Source organism: Homo sapiens, chromosome 21, assembly GCF_000001405.40.
Source record: "Homo sapiens chromosome 21, GRCh38.p14 Primary Assembly".
NCBI lineage: Eukaryota > Metazoa > Chordata > Mammalia > Primates > Hominidae > Homo > Homo sapiens.
Genome location: NC_000021.9, coordinates 31,922,286 through 31,940,659, shown reverse-complemented (window position 1 = coordinate 31,940,659; position 18,374 = coordinate 31,922,286). Strand labels below are relative to the sequence as shown.

The 18,374-nt window shown below is 44.4% G+C and overlaps 1 protein-coding gene across 2 annotated transcripts in view, besides 1 other annotated feature; it reads right to left on the bottom strand.

The window, feature by feature from the left end:
• The window catches only part of HUNK (hormonally up-regulated Neu-associated kinase), a 131,045-nt gene that overhangs the window by 63,405 nt on the left and 49,266 nt on the right, over nucleotides 1–18,374 (bottom strand). For both annotated transcript variants that reach the window (NM_014586.2, XM_011529537.3), the window contains exons 2-3: nucleotides 15,900–16,192; nucleotides 440–495 (exon numbers count right to left, since the gene is read on the bottom strand). In NM_014586.2, coding sequence (NP_055401.1) covers nucleotides 440–495; nucleotides 15,900–16,192 — 349 coding nt within the window. The remainder of the gene's footprint in view (nucleotides 1–439; nucleotides 496–15,899; nucleotides 16,193–18,374) is intronic.
• Nucleotides 8,749–9,312: an enhancer, noted in NCBI's record as "H3K27ac-H3K4me1 hESC enhancer chr21:33303660-33304223 (GRCh37/hg19 assembly coordinates)". NCBI's record gives its function as "activates a minimal SCP1, AML or CMV promoter by ChIP-STARR-seq in primed H9 embryonic stem cells {active_cell/tissue: H9 hESC(primed)}" and the evidence as "EXISTENCE:reporter gene assay evidence [ECO:0000049][PMID:30033119]".

Below are 18,374 nucleotides of genomic sequence, written 5' to 3'. Positions count from 1 at the left end.
GACTTCTCTGCACAGCTCCCATTGTACCAACAAGCCTGAATAAAGATTGTATTAAAAAGAGAAGGTCAATTGCATTCTCCCTTACTTTAGGCATCCCTGCATTCACCAAGAAGTGGAATGAGATATGGCGAAGCTATGGGAAGCATTTCTAAGCCAAACTATCTTTCACTATTTTAAAGAAGTTTTCCAGTTAATCCAAATAAAAATAAATTCTACAAAAGGTCAGCTCCATCTGAATTTATGGAGAAGCTATAGTTTGAATAAGACAAGGAAACACATGACCCATTTTCAAAACCATTATTAAATATTGGAGGTAAAAGAAGATAATCTAGAATATTGTCTGGGTATTAGAGATAGACCATGGATAATTTTCAAAGTTGAGAACTGACAACACAACACTTAAAAGATACTTTTGCTTAAAAAAAAAAAAAAGTCATACCAATCAGCTTGATATTATTGTCTTCATCTAGTAGCAAATTCTCTATCTTCAAGTCTCTGAAATAAACAAAACCACACAGCATTTCAGATAAGCATTCGAAATAATGGAATTACATTTTGCTTCTGAAGGGAAATGAACTGTTTTTAGAGCCACTTCTAACCAACCCATAAAGCTTTCTGCCAAAACTCAATCAACAAGTAAATATTTAAAAGACATGATATATTAATAATTAATTGCTGTAGACTATAAAAGCTGAAGAATTTCAGACATGACAGACAGCAAAGAGGACAGAAGGGATCATGAAAAGTTTCTGGAAAAAGCAAGACCTAAACTGGAACCTGGAAGTTAAGCAGAACCAGGGTGTGGGGAGAGAGGAACACATCACTCAAGATGGCACAGCCTGAGCGGCCAGGCAAATATTTCATATGAATGTGGCCCTGGGTTGGTGACACTATGAGCAACATCAGATTTGGGGAAGCAATTTAAAAAAAAAAAAAAAAAAACAACACATGAGGCCGGGCACGGTGGCTCACGCCTATAATCCCAGCACTTTGGGAGGCCAGGGTGGGCAGATCACCTGAGGTCGCGAGTTCGAGACCAGCCTGACTAACATGGAGAAACCCTGTGTCTACTAAAAATACAAAATCAGCTGGGCATGGCGGCGCATGCCTGTAATTCCAGCAACTCGGGAGGCTGAGGCAGGAGAATCGCTTGTACCCGGGAGGCAGAGGTTGTGGTGAGCCAAGATTGCACCATTGCACTCCAGCCTGGGCAATGAGATCGAAACTCCATCTCAAAAAAAAAAAAAAAAAAAAAAAAAACACATGAAAGCCAACTTAATTGATGAGTCCAGTGACCTCCATGTTTGGAGCCCAAGGGTCATAACAAACTGGCAGGTGATGATAAGTTAATCTATTTAGCAGGCAGATATTATCATGGGCAAAATAATGGACTCCAAAGATGTTGGTGTCCTAATTCCTGCTGTCACACCCGAGAACATGTTAACTTTACAGAGCTCAAGGGAATTAAGTTCCAGATGGAATGAAGATTGCTAATCAGATAATGGGTGATGCCATGCATTGACACTGAGGTGACGGGAGGAGGTGGAAGGGAGAAATGAGCCCAGGGTCATGTTGAGTGTGAGGTGTCTCTGGTGTCTGCGCCTGCGACTGTAAGCTCCTAGAAGGCAGGAAACATGTCTACCCTGCTTCCCATTGCACCCCAGTACTTTTGCACATTCCAGGTACTCAGTAAATACCAATGAATCCAGATTACCGATGAGATCATTTGAGATTTCAGAAGCAGAAGTATTTATGTGGGCAAAGGATGTACTTGGACATCAAAACCATCTAGGTCAATTATTATCAGCTCTGGCATCTTAAATTGTAGCCTGCCAATGCAGGCATACCTTGAATGTTAACTATGTAAAAACACTCTTACACACACGCACACACACAGACACACACAAACACACACATACAAACACACGTTCTCTTCCACCGTTTTTAAACATACCATTCTTGGTCCAGCTTTTATTTTCTCACTTTTGAATAGAGAGATAAGCAAGAGAAATGTTTCTTTTTCCTCTTATCTCTATTGTAGGGAACTGAATGGCGTAATCATGTTAAAACAAAAACGGCAACTGATACACTACGTCAATGTCTGAAACAAAAAGGAGCGATAGCTAGGACTGGCTGTGGCAAACAGGACAGCAGTGCCCCACTTAACGGGGACAGCTACTCACGGCTCGGTCCCAACACTGCCAGCTCACCTCATTCTACAGAAGAAGCCAGAGGTCTGGATTTGATCTCAATTTTTAAATGTTGGCAACAAACTCATATTTAAAACAACCATAACCCCAACCTTGCAGGCTACCAGTTTTCAACCTCAATATGGGCAGATGCTGAAGCCTTGAAAGGACGTGAGATTGTGAAGGTGAGGGCAGAGAAGTGGTGCGGGGGAAAGACCCAACAGGCTGGTGGGGAACACTGGCATTCACAGCAAACTGGGAAAGAACAGTTGCGGGGTGGGCAGGGGTTATGTCAGCCAGGCTGTTGTCACAGGAAGGGCAGGACTACAAGATGGTAAGAATTAAGGAGTCAAATGCAGAAAAAAAGGTGAACTCTAAAAGGTGTCCAACAGATTCAGAGTTGCCAATAGCCTTAAGGCTGGGCACTGGCTGAGAAGGAAGATCCATGTTCAAACTGGGGATATAAACAGACATTCCCCAATCCAATGTGCCCACCAATGGGAAGAAGAATTACATACTTTCCCTTCACTCCAAATGAAACAATACACAGAATACTTCAAAACTGTGTCTGCCTTTTAAAGATATCACGTGTCCAAATATAGGGTGACTCCAAATATACAGTGATATCCTCGCTTTTCCAACAGGAAGACTTTGTCCCTCAGTAAAAGGTTTTTGGAAAACACAAATGTATAATTTTTAGGAATGCAATAGAATTATTAAATGACTGTTGATACTACTTATCTTTGAAGCTGCATCCTCCTATTTAAGACCATACATTAAAAGGTTAACATAGTTAATTTAAGAAATACTGTTTCCACACTGTCACATTTCATGAAACAATTTTATTCAAACTAGTCACAGGCAGAACCAGGATGACTTTTTGAGTCCTTGTGCAGTGGTTCAATGTAACATGATCTTTCAGGTGACTGGATATTTGAGATAAAGTATTTTTAAAATTTGCATATGAGGCACTTGCTGGAAATCTTATCCCAAATCATACACACCCATTTAAAATCTCCATAAATTAACCACTCAGTGAACTGTTTTGAGACTGGTCTCTCAAACTCTCACAATCAAGAGGCCGTATCTCTAGAAGTTATTATTAAAGCCCCATAAATGCTTTTACCTTCCTTCCTACTGGGTTCCTCGAGTGATTTCTAGAGCACCCAAAGTCATCAGTGAGCCAAATAAAGGTTTATGTGTCTTCTCTAACTAGTACTTTGTTATTGAAAATAAAATACTATGATTGAAATTGTGTCCTTATCATATGAGAGACTTGCAAGGACTCTGTAAGGCACTTCTTCTTTTCTGAAGATACTGAAGATGTAATATCAGCCTGACTTCTATTCAGGCATAAACAGTAATTCCGAAACACACACATGCATACACAAAATAGTATGCCAGCAATATCCCAAACTGTGATTCCGTGAACCCTGATTATAAACAGCAGTACTCTCTAAATCTAAAGGAAGGCCACAGTTTGTTTCAAACGAAGTTAAGCCCTCTTTGCCTGGGAAGAATGGAAGCCCCTCTAAGGCATTAAAGGAGAAATTTGGTTCAGAGCAAATACTGTGGGGAAAAACATCCTAAAGAGGCAAGGTAAAAGACAGCAACTGCCAAGAACAATAAAACTAAGTTGGGTAATTCTGGGGCCACAAAAGCCTAGAGAACAACCACAGTGATTAGAAGAATGATATAAACGAAAGACCAAAAATAAGAGAAAATGCAAAAGAAAAAAAAATATCCGCTTTTCAAATCTAGGAAATGTCCTAAAACTAGGGCAGGACATATTAAAAATAATTATTAGGCAAACTGAGAAAAAAATAAAATCAGTTCAAAGTCACTATCTTCCCACCCATAGCATCCCATTATAACCAACTCCCATCCCCTAAGAAAAATGCACAGAATAAACCTGGTTAACCTGGGTTATTTGTCCAGATTTCTAAAAGGTTTCAGTGACAACCAATCCAACTGCTTAAAGGTTCCATGGCTAGTTAATGGGAGGGTGAGCTACTTCTGTCTCTGTCCAAAAGATCAGTGTACTTACCCACGCAAAAGAAAAGAACATTCAATAGCCTTTGGCTTTATTTACTTCCACTTCCTGCTCTGTCCTTTGTAACTTATCCAATAGGAAGAGAGAGAACACTTTCTTCCAGACTTTAGGACAAAAGGCACTAAAATCTCATTTTTTAAAATAGCTTTTACCTAGGTATTTACCTAAATGAGTGGAAAACTTATGGACATAAATGTTTATAGCAGTTTCAATCATTCTTTCCCCAAACTGGAAGCACCCAAGATGTCCTTCAGCAGCAGAATGGATAAACAAACGTTGGCACACCCAAACAATGGCATATTCAGTGATAAAAAGAAATAAGGTTGGGCGCGGTGGCTCACACCCATAATCCCAGCACTTTGGGAAGCTGAGGCGGGTTGATCACCTGAAGTCAGGAGTTCAAGACCAGCCAGGCCAAAATGGTGAAACCCCGTCTCTACTAAAAATACAAAAATTAGCCAGGCGTGGTGGCACACACCTGTAATCCCAGCTACTCGCCTGAACCCGGGAGGCGGAGGTTGCAGTGAGCCAAAATTGTGCCACTGCGCTCCAGCCTAGGGCGACAGAGTGAGACTCCATCTCAAAAAATAAAAAAGAAAAAGAAAAAAGAGATAAGATATTACAGAATATCTTTTTATCTTCAGTGATAAAAACAAATAAGATGAGCCAAAAATGGTGTGATTCACTTGGAAAGACATGGAGGAACGTCAAATGCATGCTTTTAATTGAAAGAAGCTAGTCAGAAATGGCTACATACTGTTTGACTCCAACTGTATGACACTCTGGGAATCTATGGCGATGGTAAAAAGAGCAGTGGCTGCCAGGGGTTGGGGTGTGAGAGGGAAAAAAGGACAGATGAATAGGTGGAGTATAGAGGGGTTTTAGGGTGTTAAAATTATTCTTTATGGTACTGTAGTGGTGTTACATGATACTGTGCATTTATCAAAATCCACAGAACTGGACATCACAGAGTGAACCCTAAGGTAAACTCAGACCTTAGTTAATACGACTGTATCCATGCTGGTTCATCCATTGTAACAAATGTGCCAGGGGAACACAAGATATTCGTAACAGGGAAAATGTGAGTAGGGGGAAGGTATGCGGGAACTCTCATAGTTTCTATGCAAGTCTTCTGTAAATCTGAAACTGCTCTAAAAAACATTGTCTATAGATTTTTGTAAAAGCAGCTTTTGGATACATTTCCCTTTCCTAAGCAATCCACACTAAGAATGGTACAACTACAACCAAGTGCCTCACTCAGGCAGTTCACTGTGGGACATCCTTAGCCCCCTGAAGTTATGTCCCTGAGTCCATTCAGAACAGTGAGCAACCCAGACCCTCTGCTCAGCTACTCAACAGTGATCAAAGAGGACACAAATGATCCAAAGAGGCAGAAAAATTGAGAGACAACTGGAATAAAAAAGGGTGAAAATCAATCATTCTACCCAAAAGACACTACAGCGCTATTCACAACCGCAAAGACACGTAACCAAACTAGGTGCCTATCAAAGGTGGACTGGGTAAAGAAAACGGGGTACATATGTACCATGGAATACCATGCAGCCATAAAAAAGAATGAAATCATGCCCTCTGCAGCAACATGGATGCCGCTCGAAGTCATTATCCTGAGCAAATTAACAAAGAAAAAAAAAATCAAATATTGCATGTTCTTCCTTGTAAGTGGGAGCTGAACATTGGGTACATATGGACACAAAGACAGGAACAACAGATACTGAGAACTACCAGAGAAGGGTGGGAAAGAGGAGGACGAGGGTTGAAAAACTACCCGTTGGGTACTATGCACAGTACCTGGGTGATGGAATCTGTACCCCAAACCTCAGCATCACGCAATATACCCATGTAACAAACCTGCACAGGTACACCCTGAAGCAAAAATAAAAGTTGAAAGTTTTAAAAGGGGTGAATTTCTTCATAAGGTTTCAGTGTTCGTGTATTTTTTTTTTTTTTTTTTTTTGAGGCAGAGTCTCACTCTGTTGCCCAGGCTAGAGTGCAGTGGCGTGATCTCAGCTCACTGCAAGTTCCGCTTCCCGGGTTCATGCCATTCTCCTGCCTCAGCCTCCTGAGTAGCTGGGACTACAGGCGCCCGCCACCGCACCCGGCTAATTTTTTGTATTTTTAGTAGAGACAGGATTTCACCGTGGTCTCGATCTCCTGACCTCGTGATCCGCCCGCCTCAGCCTCCCAAAATGCTGGGATTACAGGAGTGAGCCACCGCGCCCAGCCTCAGTATTCGTGTATTATAATGGACCTTTAAAAAAATTATGAGCAAGCCTATATTATCCAGAATACTGGCTCTATCAGAAAACCTCCTTGTGGTCCATGTGAAAAGCCTGATGTTTACTCTAGCTCCATCCCAAGAGCAAAACATTTGGCTCTGCTAAGTGTGAGACGTGCTTTAAGGGAAGGAAGGTGAAGGGCAGGCTGGTCGGCACATGACGATGCGGTGAGGGAAGTAGAATGCCCACTTCACGTGAATGGTCCTTGATCTGATTAACTTCTTTCATGGAGGGGAGAGGGAAGTGGGAGGATCTTCCTTCAGTCCTGCCGTCTGAAGAGCTCCCCCTGTGGCATATAAACTGGAAATTCAGTGTTAACCTTTTTTTTTTTTTTTTGAGACAGAGTCTTGCTCTGTTCCCCAGGCTGGAGTGCAGTGGCACAATCTCAGCTCACTGCAGCCTCTGCCTCCTGGGTTCAAGCGATTCTCCTGCCTCAGCCTCCCGAGTAGCTGGGATTACAGGCATGCACCATCACACCCAGCTAATTTTTGTGTTTTTAGTAGAGACGGGGTTTCTCCATGTTGGTCAGGCTGGTGTCGAACTCCCAACCTCAGGTGATCCACCTACCTCGGCCTCCCAAAGTGCTAGGATTACAGGCGTGAGCCACTGCGCCCGGCCAATTTGTGTATTTTTAGTAAAGATGGGGTTTCACCATGTTGGCCAGGCTGGTCTTGAACTCCTGACCTCAGGTGATCCTCCCACCTTGGCTTCCCAAAGTGCTGGGATTATAAGCGTGAACCACTGTACCTGGCCCAGTGTTAACTTTTAACTGAGAACAAATGTGAAGGAGAAGAGAATGGCCCTGGGATAGATGGGAAGTTGCTTTTTCTTGGCCAATGGGCCTTCAAAGAGGAGCTAGGAGAAGCAACAAAGGGGTGTGGCTCAAGGCACAGAAGGTAGTGCAGGGCCAGGCATGGTGGCCCACACCTGTAATCCAACCACTTTGGGAAGCTGAGGCAGGTGGATCACCTGAGGTCAGGAGTTCAAGGCCAGCCTGGTCAACATGGTGAAACCCTGTCTCTACTAAAAATAAAAAAATTAGCCAGGTGTGGTGATGGGCGCCTGTAGTCTCAGCTACAGGCTGGAGAGACTGAGGCATGAGCATCGCTTGAACCTGGCAGGTGGAGGTGCAGAGAGCCGAGATTGCACCACTGCACTCCAGCCTGGGGGATTGAGCAAGACTCTGTATCAAAAAAAAAAAAAAAAAAAGGAAGAAGGCAGCGCAGGAGGATGGGTTGGTGAGGACAGTGCTGGGGGTGAGGATGCAGGGGTGCAGGGGATGTCTTAGGAACAACAGGCAACACCGATATACCAACCAGAAGCCACGGTGAAGCAGGAGCAGGGAGCTCAGCAGAGAAGAGGCCACTAGAGAGACAGTGGTGTGGGTTCAGAAGGCTTCAGGACCCTTCTCTGCTCATTAGGCAGTTCCAGGAAGAAATGCTCAAAGGGGACCCATCACAGCAGACAGACCAGATGTTGAGATAAGTGCAGGGTGTTTTTACAGAGATCCGGAAAGGACCTAAGGGGAGAAGACTCCTCCACACCCTCTAGGTATCACCTAATCACAGCCCTTTGTTTGAAGTTCTTTCAAAAGCACAAGCATGCAAACAGGCCATGACTAACCATTCAAGGTTCCCCCACAGCCTACCAAGCAACCCCTTCCCCTCCCCTCCAGCCACCCACCCAGACTCTCCTTGCATCTCTTTCAAGATGGTCAGTTGGAAAGTTCTGAGACTGGCCGCCATAAACTGAGTCACTGCCCTTCAGGACAGAGGGTGCGAGGGAGGAGAGTCAGGGAGGGTCCTGTTGCCATGACAAACATACAGGTGATCCCCCACCCCTGGGGGCAGAAAGGCAGCTGCTCCAACCCTGTGGAGCAAAGAGGCAGACAGGAGCAGTGCTGGGGAAGTGGAAATCAGGAGTGTGTGTGTGTGTTTACGCCCGAGTGTGTAAGTACACATGAGTTTGTGTGGGCACATTGCAAGTGTGAGCACATGTTCATGTGACTATGTGCACGTATGTGCATGCACGTGGGGGAGAGCATGAGTGTACGTGTGTGGGTGTGTGCATGCATGTGCACGCATCCATGGGTGTATGAATGTACACATGTTTGCACATACGTGTTGCATACACACGTGTGAGCTCTGTGTCAGCGTGCACCCTGTGTATATGGCGGTGGGCGCGCGTGTGTGTGTGTGCGCGCGTGCATGCATCACATGCATCCAGGGTTGTGGGATGGGAGAAGGCAGATGGGAGAAGGCAGTCTCTCCCCTGGGCCTCCACAGACCATGCCCAGCCCAGGAGGTCTAGGCTGAGGGGCAGGAACTCAGGAAAGAGCCTGGGGGAGCCGCTCAGGGTTGAGTCCAAAGAACTGAATGGTGTAACACCGAGGCATCAGGAGAGGAGGGAAGGGGAGGAGAGCGTGAGACGTGGCAGAACCAGTGAACACCCCGAGTGAGGAGGCTGAGCAAAGACAGGCAGCCAAGCAAGGGGGCCTGGGGAAGGGAGTAAGGACAGGTGCTGGGGTCTGGCTCTCTCTAATGGACCCGCCAACCCGGCCCGGGCAAGTCATTTAAACTCTCGGAGCTTCTGATTCTCCCCTGGAACCCGACCATCATGAGAAGGGTTACCCAGCAGGGCCACTGGCAGAGGGAGATGCCACAGTGGATTCCCGAGGGCTTTGCGGGCCACTCCATTTACGAGGTGAGAGGCTGGAGGTGAGGATAATAAAGTGAAAGATTCTAAGACAAGGTGAAGAGGAAAGACTCCAGAAAATACTTAAAAGAGGTGATTAATTTGGCCATAAGCAAAGAGTATTGGGGGGCATGCCCCCCAGCCCAATGAAAGGTAAGAGAGAAGGGGCCCAGGGAAGGATAGACCCAACTCAGACAGGATTAAGTTGGATGGAAAAAGTTTTGCCTACAGGGATGGTCACAAGATGGATTTTAATAATAAACTAAGAATAAAGCATCCCAAACTCCCCAAGCACATAACTCCCCAAGGCAACAGGCATTTTGCAGGGAACATGATTTTTTTTTTTTTTTTTTTTTTTGGTTAGGTCTTATCTTCAAAAGCACTGTATTAAAAGCAAATGATGTGCAAATTCTTGATTTATTTACAATATGGGTATTTTGGTAAAATACAAGAATAATGTGTCATCCATGAACCTGATTTATTTATTCAAAATGAAACCTTTATTGAGTTCCCGTAATGTTCCAGAAACAAATTCTGTTTATAAAACTGAAAGACCCATTCACTAGAAAGATGCCACTCTACAAATTGTGACCTAAAAAATAAACACATTGACACTAAGTCAATGAAGAAACTCCTTTGAAATTCCAGGGAGAATATGGACTATTCCAGAACATAGGACTGGCTACCAGAAAGCTTCCATCCCAGTGCAAACTCTGACACTAGCTGTATTCATTCAATTTTCCTTCCTTCATTCAACAAAGTCTTACTGTGTGCCCACTGGGCTGAGCACTGGGCTAAGCTATGGCCTGTGCAGAAGGCAGATAGAGAAAAGTAACCATGGGATACGTGCTCAGAAAGAAAAGTAGAGGGTGCTGAGAGTCTATGGCCAGGGGGCCAAGCCTGGAGGGCTTCCCAGAGAAGGTGAGCCTGGAGCTGGGACCTGAAGGATGAGTAGAATTCAGCCAAAGCCAACAAGGGCAGTGCAAGCAGAGAACAGCTGTGGGACCCTCAGCACGGAGAACTGTGGGTCTCAGCTTCCCGTGGATAAAATGAATGGGCTGGACTGAGTAGTAATTACAGAGAACATGGACTCAGTCCTTACACAGAGTCTCAGTTTTTAGTGCTTTATGCAGATTGACTTATTTAATCCTCACAACAGCCATGTGAAGTGGATAATCCGCTTTCCCTGTTGTGTAGCTGTGGAAAGAGAGGCACAAAAGCCTGAGCGATTTGCCCAGCGCCACTTTCGAGTGGTCAAACCAGCATATGGACAAGGGGGTCAGGCTTTCGCATCAGCACTGCGGACCACTGTACATCCCAATCCATGAAGCTGTTGGGCTGGAGCTTTGCAAGAGCTCACATTTCCAATGCTATTTTTTTAAACCCAATTAAACACAAAACTTTTGCTGTAACTGATGCCTCCAGATATGTGCTTGCTCTCAGCAGAAGGCCCTGGGATTCCACCCAGCTCCTGGATGTGAGCAGAAATCCAAGAAAACCTGAAAGTTAACAGAACTTCTTAACCCCCTAACCAGCACAGGTTGTGCCTGCTTCTTGTCAGGCCCAAAAGAACAAAGAAGGGCCTCCTCTCTTCCACTGCCTTCCTCTTAAGCGCAGAGAGCCCTTTTCTCCATATTGATGAATGGATAAGGTCATGGCCCTGGGAGCCACGGTGTTGACACACATCCGAGCTCAGGCTCGGGCTCCCTTTGATCATGTGTCTCTTTCTCCTGGTCCTGCAGCCCCGTGGCTTTTCTCTTCCTGCTTAGGGATGGTGGTATTGTATTACCCAGTTGTGTTTTATCTGTATAGTTTGATTGGACTTTGTTATTTTGAATGAACACATGAATCTCAAATTAGCCTCTCAGCAGAATCGGCGTTCTTGGTGATTCACGTTAAGAGTTGATGCTCTATATACAATAGGCAAATCATCAGATTTTGGCATCCTGCTCAGTAAGCACGTTTAGGGGAAGGAAAAACAACTCGTTATATTTTAGAGAAGCTTAGACAATTCTAAAATAGAATAATAAAGAAGTTAGAACACACTCTACCTTTGTAAAAATGAACAACAGCCCTAGACACAGAGGCTGTGGCAAGTCCAATCTAATAGGAAGCTCTCTGCCAGCAAAGTGAATCTGCTTTATACATGCTAAGTTTCCTTTGTATTAAAAAAAAAAAACAAAACCTACTTGTCATATTTATTGTTTCTTTTAAATGATGTTTAAATAGTTCTGGAAAGATAAATAAATATTTCCATTTAATGCCACAGGAAATGAGGGCTCTGCTAGCATTAAGTTGATTATGACATAATAACATAATATCAGCCTAATCAGGAACTGCATTTTTAAAGCATCCCCTAACACACACACAAACACACACACACACACAACCAAAAGCCCCTTAAATCACTGTACACATATAGCCACAAAAAATCATCCTGCATCCTTTTGCATCATCCAATGTATTTACTTAGAAATCTTCCCACCAGGGACTCCAGGGCCTCTCTGAAATGCAATACTCTCTTATTCATTTGAAAAATCTAACCTCAAAATAATTTATGAAATTCATTCCACCTTTGCAGCATAAAGGAGAAAATTCTTTATGAGAAAGCGCTCCAGCAAAGAACATACCAGTGGTCAGCTGAAATACGAACACCCAAAATTAGTGGTATAGAGTCTTTGAAAGTCAAGACATTCCGTTAAAGCCACTATGAATATATTCTAAACAAGCATTTTAATGTGAGGTCTCAACCACCTAATCACCTATGTCCGTGTGCGGTGACACACATTAACATGATTTTTAGAGGGAAAAGTGAAAAAAATCTTCCTAAATCGTCCCTGTATCTCCAGTCTTCTCTAACTTTAAAAGATCTGAGCCCTTGCCATTATTGGATTATAAATATATTCCTGAGGAGAGAGAGGCAAAAGTAGAAAAAGCTGGAGATCAGAGAAAGAAAAAGTATACCGTCTTTGCTATCAAAACATTATTAAATTCATTGCTTTGACATTCTGACAGTAATTGCGCTGAGAGGGATTGGATTTTGTTAAAATTACTTTAAAAGGGCTGTTGAGAATTTCCTGCAGGAGAGGCCAGTGCACAAGGCACAGCTTCCACTTGGTTTTCTTTGTTGTTCTCGCGATCCTGAGAAGCTCGGTGCTCATCCTCTTTTTGACAGCACAAAACCCTTGGAAAAAACACCCTGAGTACTACAGAAAGATCTGCCGCTCCCAGTCCCTGGTTCTATTTTCCACTGTGACCTGCGGAGTCGGTGATCCAAGCTGATTCACTTGTGAGGTTTCTGCCTTTGTCATCTTAATAAACAAAGACAGAGCCAGGCACACTTACGACTATCATTTTCCTAATAACAGCAGCGTTATGACACCTCAGGCTACCCAAGGGTATTGTTGGGAAGAGCCAAAAATAGCGTGATTCACTTACCATTTCTGAATGTTCTCTTCCTTGCTAATCTAAGCCCAAAGAGTTCTAATGAAGGGTGATCTCATGACAACATGCATGACTAAGAATACGTATGTGAAGAGGTGCTCTCACCTTGGTGAGGCGGAAATGATTGGCCTGAATGGTGCCTACCCAAGGCTGGCTCTAGAAAAGGCCTGGACAATGGTCCTCCCCTGGGTTTAGACATGAGAGGGCAGAGCATCCCACGGCACCAATCCCGTTAGTAAGGAGGCAGCTCTCTCCACCTTGGAAGTCTAAGTTCTATTAAGTAAAGGCCTGGAGCTGCTTTCATCACTGATCAGAAAATAAATGGCTTTTTTTTTTTTTCCAGACAAGTCTCGCTCTGTTGTCCAGGCTGGAGTGCAGTGGCGTGATCTCGGCTCACTGCAAGCTCTGCCTTCTTGGTTCATGCCATTCTCCTGCCTCAGCCTCCAGAGTAGCTGGCACTACAGGCACCTGCCACCATGCCCAGCTAATTTTTTTGTATTTTTAGTAGAGACGGGGTTTCACTGTGTTAGCCAGGATGGTCTTGATCTCCTGACCTCGTGATCTGCCTGCCTCAGCCTCCCAAAGTGCTGGAATTGCAGGCGTGAGCACTGCGCCCGGCCTGAAAATAAATGGCTTTCATGGCTGGGCACGGCGGCTCACACCTGTAATCCCAGCACTTTGGGTGTGGCTGAGGAGGGTGGATCATTTGAGGTCAGGAGTTTGAGACCAGCCTGGGCAACATGGTGAAACCCCATCTCTACTAAAAATACAAAAAATAGTTAGGCATGATGGCACGTGCCTGTAATCCCAGCAACTTGGGAAGCTGAGGCAGTAGAATCTCTTGAACCCGGAAGGCGGAAGTTGCAGTGAGCCGAGATTGTGCCACTGCACTCCAGTCTGGGCGACAGAGTGAGACTCCATCTCAAAAAAACAAAAAACAAAAAAGAAATAAAGAAATAAGAAAGAAAAAAGAAAGAGAGAGAGAGAAAGAAAGAAAGGAAGAAAGAAAGAAAAAGGAAAGAAAGAAAGAATAATGGCCTTCAAATAGAGCTAGATTATCATTATTAAAATTAAAATTAGATTTATCATTAAATGTTGAATTTTTTTAAAATATATATTTCCTCAAAAGGATAAAGAAAGCTGACATATGACCCAGCAATTCCACTCCTAAGAGTGGAGTTTTCTGAGAAGTGAAAACAGCGCTCATAGCAGTATTACTAGCCAAAGTGTGGGAACAACTCAAATGGATCAGCCAATTGTGGTATATCCATACATGGAGTATTATGCAGTCATAAAAAGGAAGGAGACACTGACACATGCTATAACTTAGACAAACCTGAAAAACATAATGCTACATGACAGAAAGCAATCACAAAAGACCGGGTATTATATAATTCCATTTATATGAAATGGCCAGAATAGGCAAATCCATAGACACGGAAAGTAAATTAGTAGTTGCCAGGGCTGGGGGAAGAGGGAAATGGGGAGTGACTGGTAATGGGTACAGGGTTTCTTTTGCGGGGGGTAATAAAAATATTCTAAAATTAGAAGGTGGTGATGGTTGCACAACTCTGTGAATACACTAAAAAACACTAGATTATACACTTTTAAATGGTGACTTTTATAGTATATAAATTTATTAATTTAAAAATATTTAAACATACATGTGCACACGTGTGTGCATGTTTATATATATACACACACATAAATATGTCATGCCTCAATCTTGCTTTTTAAAATAAGCACCAATTAAAAATGATTTCTATGCCGGGCGTGGTGGCTCACGCCTGTAATCCCAGCACTTCGGGAGGCCGAGGAGGGCGGATCACCTGAGGTCAGGAGTTCAAGACCAGCCTGACCAACATGGAGAAAGCCCATCTCTACTAAAAATAAAAAATTAGCCGGGCGTTGTGGCACATGCCTGTAATCCCAGCTACTAGGGTGGGTGACACAGGAGAATTGCTTGAACCTGGGAAGTGGTTGCAGTGAGCCAAGATTGCGCCATTGCACTCCAGCCTGGGCGACAAAGCGAGACTCAGTCTCAAAAAAAAAAAAAAATATTTCTGGTTGTTCTCAATAACCCAGAGTAATTATTGATCATAATTCCACAAAGGAAGAACCATGCATTTATTGGTGAAGCCAACACTCCCTTGGAGGAAAAGAGGGAGCTTTTATTTCTTTAAATTTGTTTGATTTTATTTTCATACAGTACTAAAAGCAGGCACCCACTACCAATGGCAACATTGCCAAGAACGCTGTTTCCATTCACTTTCTTTGTAGAGCCCCTTCCTAGGAAACAACAGGATATTAAAAACAAGCTTGATTTTCCTAACTATTTGCAAGACTGGTTTGGTTTGTGGAAAACACTCCTTGATTTCAAGGGCAAGTTCAAAATTCGAATGGTGATTCAATTTCATTGAATAAAACTGCTATTGAGTGTCTACTATGTGTAAAGCAAAGACAATGAAAGCACCATCATCCCTAGCACGAATCTCATGCCATTTTAACACTGGCTCTTTCAGGCACCTAAACAACTGGTCTCATGACTATGCAAACAAGAAGAAAAGCAGCTAACACTTACCTGATACCTACTAGGTAACAAACACTGTCCCAAGCTCTTCCCATATATTAACTCATTGACCTTTACTCCAACTGAGAGAGAAGTGTTATTATTATTCCCATTTTACAGATTAAGAGACCAAGGCTCAGAGAGGTTAAGTAACTTGCCCAGGGTCACATAACTGTTACAGGGCAGAGCCAGGTTGCAAGCCCAGTCACTCTGGCTTCAGATTCTACTCTTTTAACCCTCACACTGGCATTAACCCAATTCACAAAACAATTCCATGGAATAAAAATACAGAAAAATTCCCAGCCTGGCCAACATGGTGAAACCCCGTCTCTACTAAAAATACAACAAAGTTAGCCAGGCATTGTGGCAGGTGCCTGTAATCCCAGCTACTTGGGTGGCTGAGGCAGGAAAATCGCTTGAACCCACAAGGCGGAGGTTGCAGTGAGCCATGACTGCGCCATTGCACTCCAGCCTGGGCAACAAGAACAAAACTCCGTCTCAAAAAAATAAACAAATAAATAAAATTAAAATATAGACAAATTGTAAAACAGGCTGCAATTGCTCAGCCTTTCTCAGAGGCTCAGAGGGTGCCACAGCCCAGTGCCACCCACGGAGCACACAGTCAGCGATCACCAGCGTGGCCTGGCCCTTACCTGTGGACCACCCCGGCCCGGTGCAGGTGCTCTACGGCAGAGATGAGCTGTCGGATGTATCTGCGGGCTTCGGACTCCTCCAGCCGCTTCTTCTCATAGATCTTGTGCATCAGGTTGCCCCCAGGGCACAGCTCCATGACCAGGTAGTAGCTGTTTTCCGTTTCTAAAATATCAAGGAGCTGAGTGATATTGGGGTGGCGGATCATCTGCTGGATCTGACCCTCTCGCCGCAGGTTTTTGGTGACATAGGTGTCCTTTTTGGCTCTCTTCTTATCAATGACTTTTATGGCCACCTAAGGAGAAAACAAGAACATGCCTGTTATCAGACATTACAGACAATAGCGATGCCTTGGCTACTCACAGGAACCCAAGAAAAATGCTAGCTATGTCTCTGCAGAGGAGAAACACCTTACCTAAAACAGCATCAACAGAAAATATATATATACACATTTATATTTATGCATATACCACACAAACACACACACACACACACATATAGGTACAACATTAGGAAAAATCAAAAGGTCCAATTATTAAGGAAGACAATGGAATTTACCTAAGAAAACCTGAATGGCTGTCTGGAAGGCACAGTGCAGGATTAATGTCAAATTTATTTTTCTACAGGATGGGAAGATGAAATAACAATTTCTCTTCCAGCAAAGGGCTTGTCCCAGTCCCCCTCAGGACTCACCATCATCTCCCTCCAGGTCTGAGGACCCCCAGCCACTTCAGAAACAGCTAAATCTTCCCCCAATCTTAGTTCCAAGGCATGGTTGGGGGACACTGCCCAAAGATGCAGCACCCCTAGCCTTGCCCGCCCCCGCTCCGCCCTGCCCTGTGCACACCCTCAAGCCTCAGGGTCTACCTCCTTCCCTTGATGAATTGCCTCCTAGGGAAACTTGGCCCCCACTGTCAGGACCCAACCTTTGTTGTTACTCAGGATCACATTTCTACTACCCTCAGGAAGCTCCTCCTGGGCCATTGCCCCTACAATCAACTTGTCATAAGAGGTACGGTGGGAGGGAGGGAAGAACAGAAGGAAGGATGGAGGAACAGAGGGAAGGGAAGATTGTCTATTCCACCCAAATCCGCATCTGTCCCCAGTCCTCTTTCCTTTAGGGGAAGTCACCTCTCCATTGTATTCACCCTTTTCCTTCCCTTCCCTCCCTCCCTCCCTCCCTCCCTCGCTTCCTTCCTTCCTTCCTTCTTTCCTTCCTTCCTTCCTCCCTCCCTTCCTCCCTCCTTCCCTCTCTCCCTCCCCTTCCTCTTTCCTTCCTTCCTTTCTTTCTTCTTCTATCTCTCTCTTTTTCTCTTTCTTTCCTTCTTGACAGAGTCTCTCTGTTGCCCAGGCTGGAGTACATGGTGCAATCATGGCTCACTGAAGCCTCAAACTCCTGGGCTTAAGTGATCCTCCCACCTCAGCCTCCCAGGAGCTGGGACTATAAGCACACACCACCACGGCTGGCTAATTTTTTTCTTTTTGTAGAGACCGATCTCCCCATGTGGCCCAGGCTGGTCTTGAACTCCTGGCTTCCAGTGATTCTCCTTGTCAGCCTCCCAAAGCACCGGCGTCAAAGGCGTGAGTCACCACGCCGGCTGCCCTGTTCCTTCTTTTTTCTTCACTCCCCTCTCTAATGTGATCAGCCACTGACGTCAACACATGATGTCAATGTCTTCTTCCAGCTGTCTCGCCACCTGTCCTTCCTCTCTGTTCCCCTACACCACCCGCCTGGTTCATTCCAACCACTGCCCCAGTGCCCAGATGCCCTGTCATGAACTGAGACATGAGCATCCCAGGAACACCTTCATACACAGCTATGGAGCCTCCGGGTGCAGGATGAAGTCAGTGGACCTTCCATTTCTTGTTATTTCTCTTTTTTGTAATTACATTTTGTACCTGTTTCACAACGCACTCAATATGCATTATATGCAATATGCCATACACAGAGGTACAAGTACAGAAATAAATAATAAGTAAATAAATACAGATGAATACATGTTTTCAGTGAGGGGCTCAAATATTATTTTGTGGACATAGTTCATGATAAAGAAAAAAACAGAAGTCTGAGATCCAATGTACAGCATGGTGACCAGGCTTAACAATAATGTATTGCACACTTGAAAACTGCTAAGAGGCCGGGCGTGGTGGCTCGTGCCTGTAATCCCAACACTTTGGGAGGCCGAGGAGGGTGAATTACTTGAGGTCAGGAGTTCAAGACCAGCCCGGCCAACATGGTGAAACCCTGTCTCTACTAAAAACACAAAAATTAGATGGGCGTGGTGGTGGATGCCTGGAATCCCAGCTACTCGGGAGGCTTAGGCAGGAGAATCGCTTGAACCCAGGAGGTAGAAGTTGCAGTGAGCCAAGATTGTGCCATTGCACTCCAGACTGGGCAACAAGAACAAAACTCCGTCTCAAAAAAAAAGAAAGAAAACTGCTAAGAGGCTGGGCACGGTGGCTTGTGCCTGTAATCC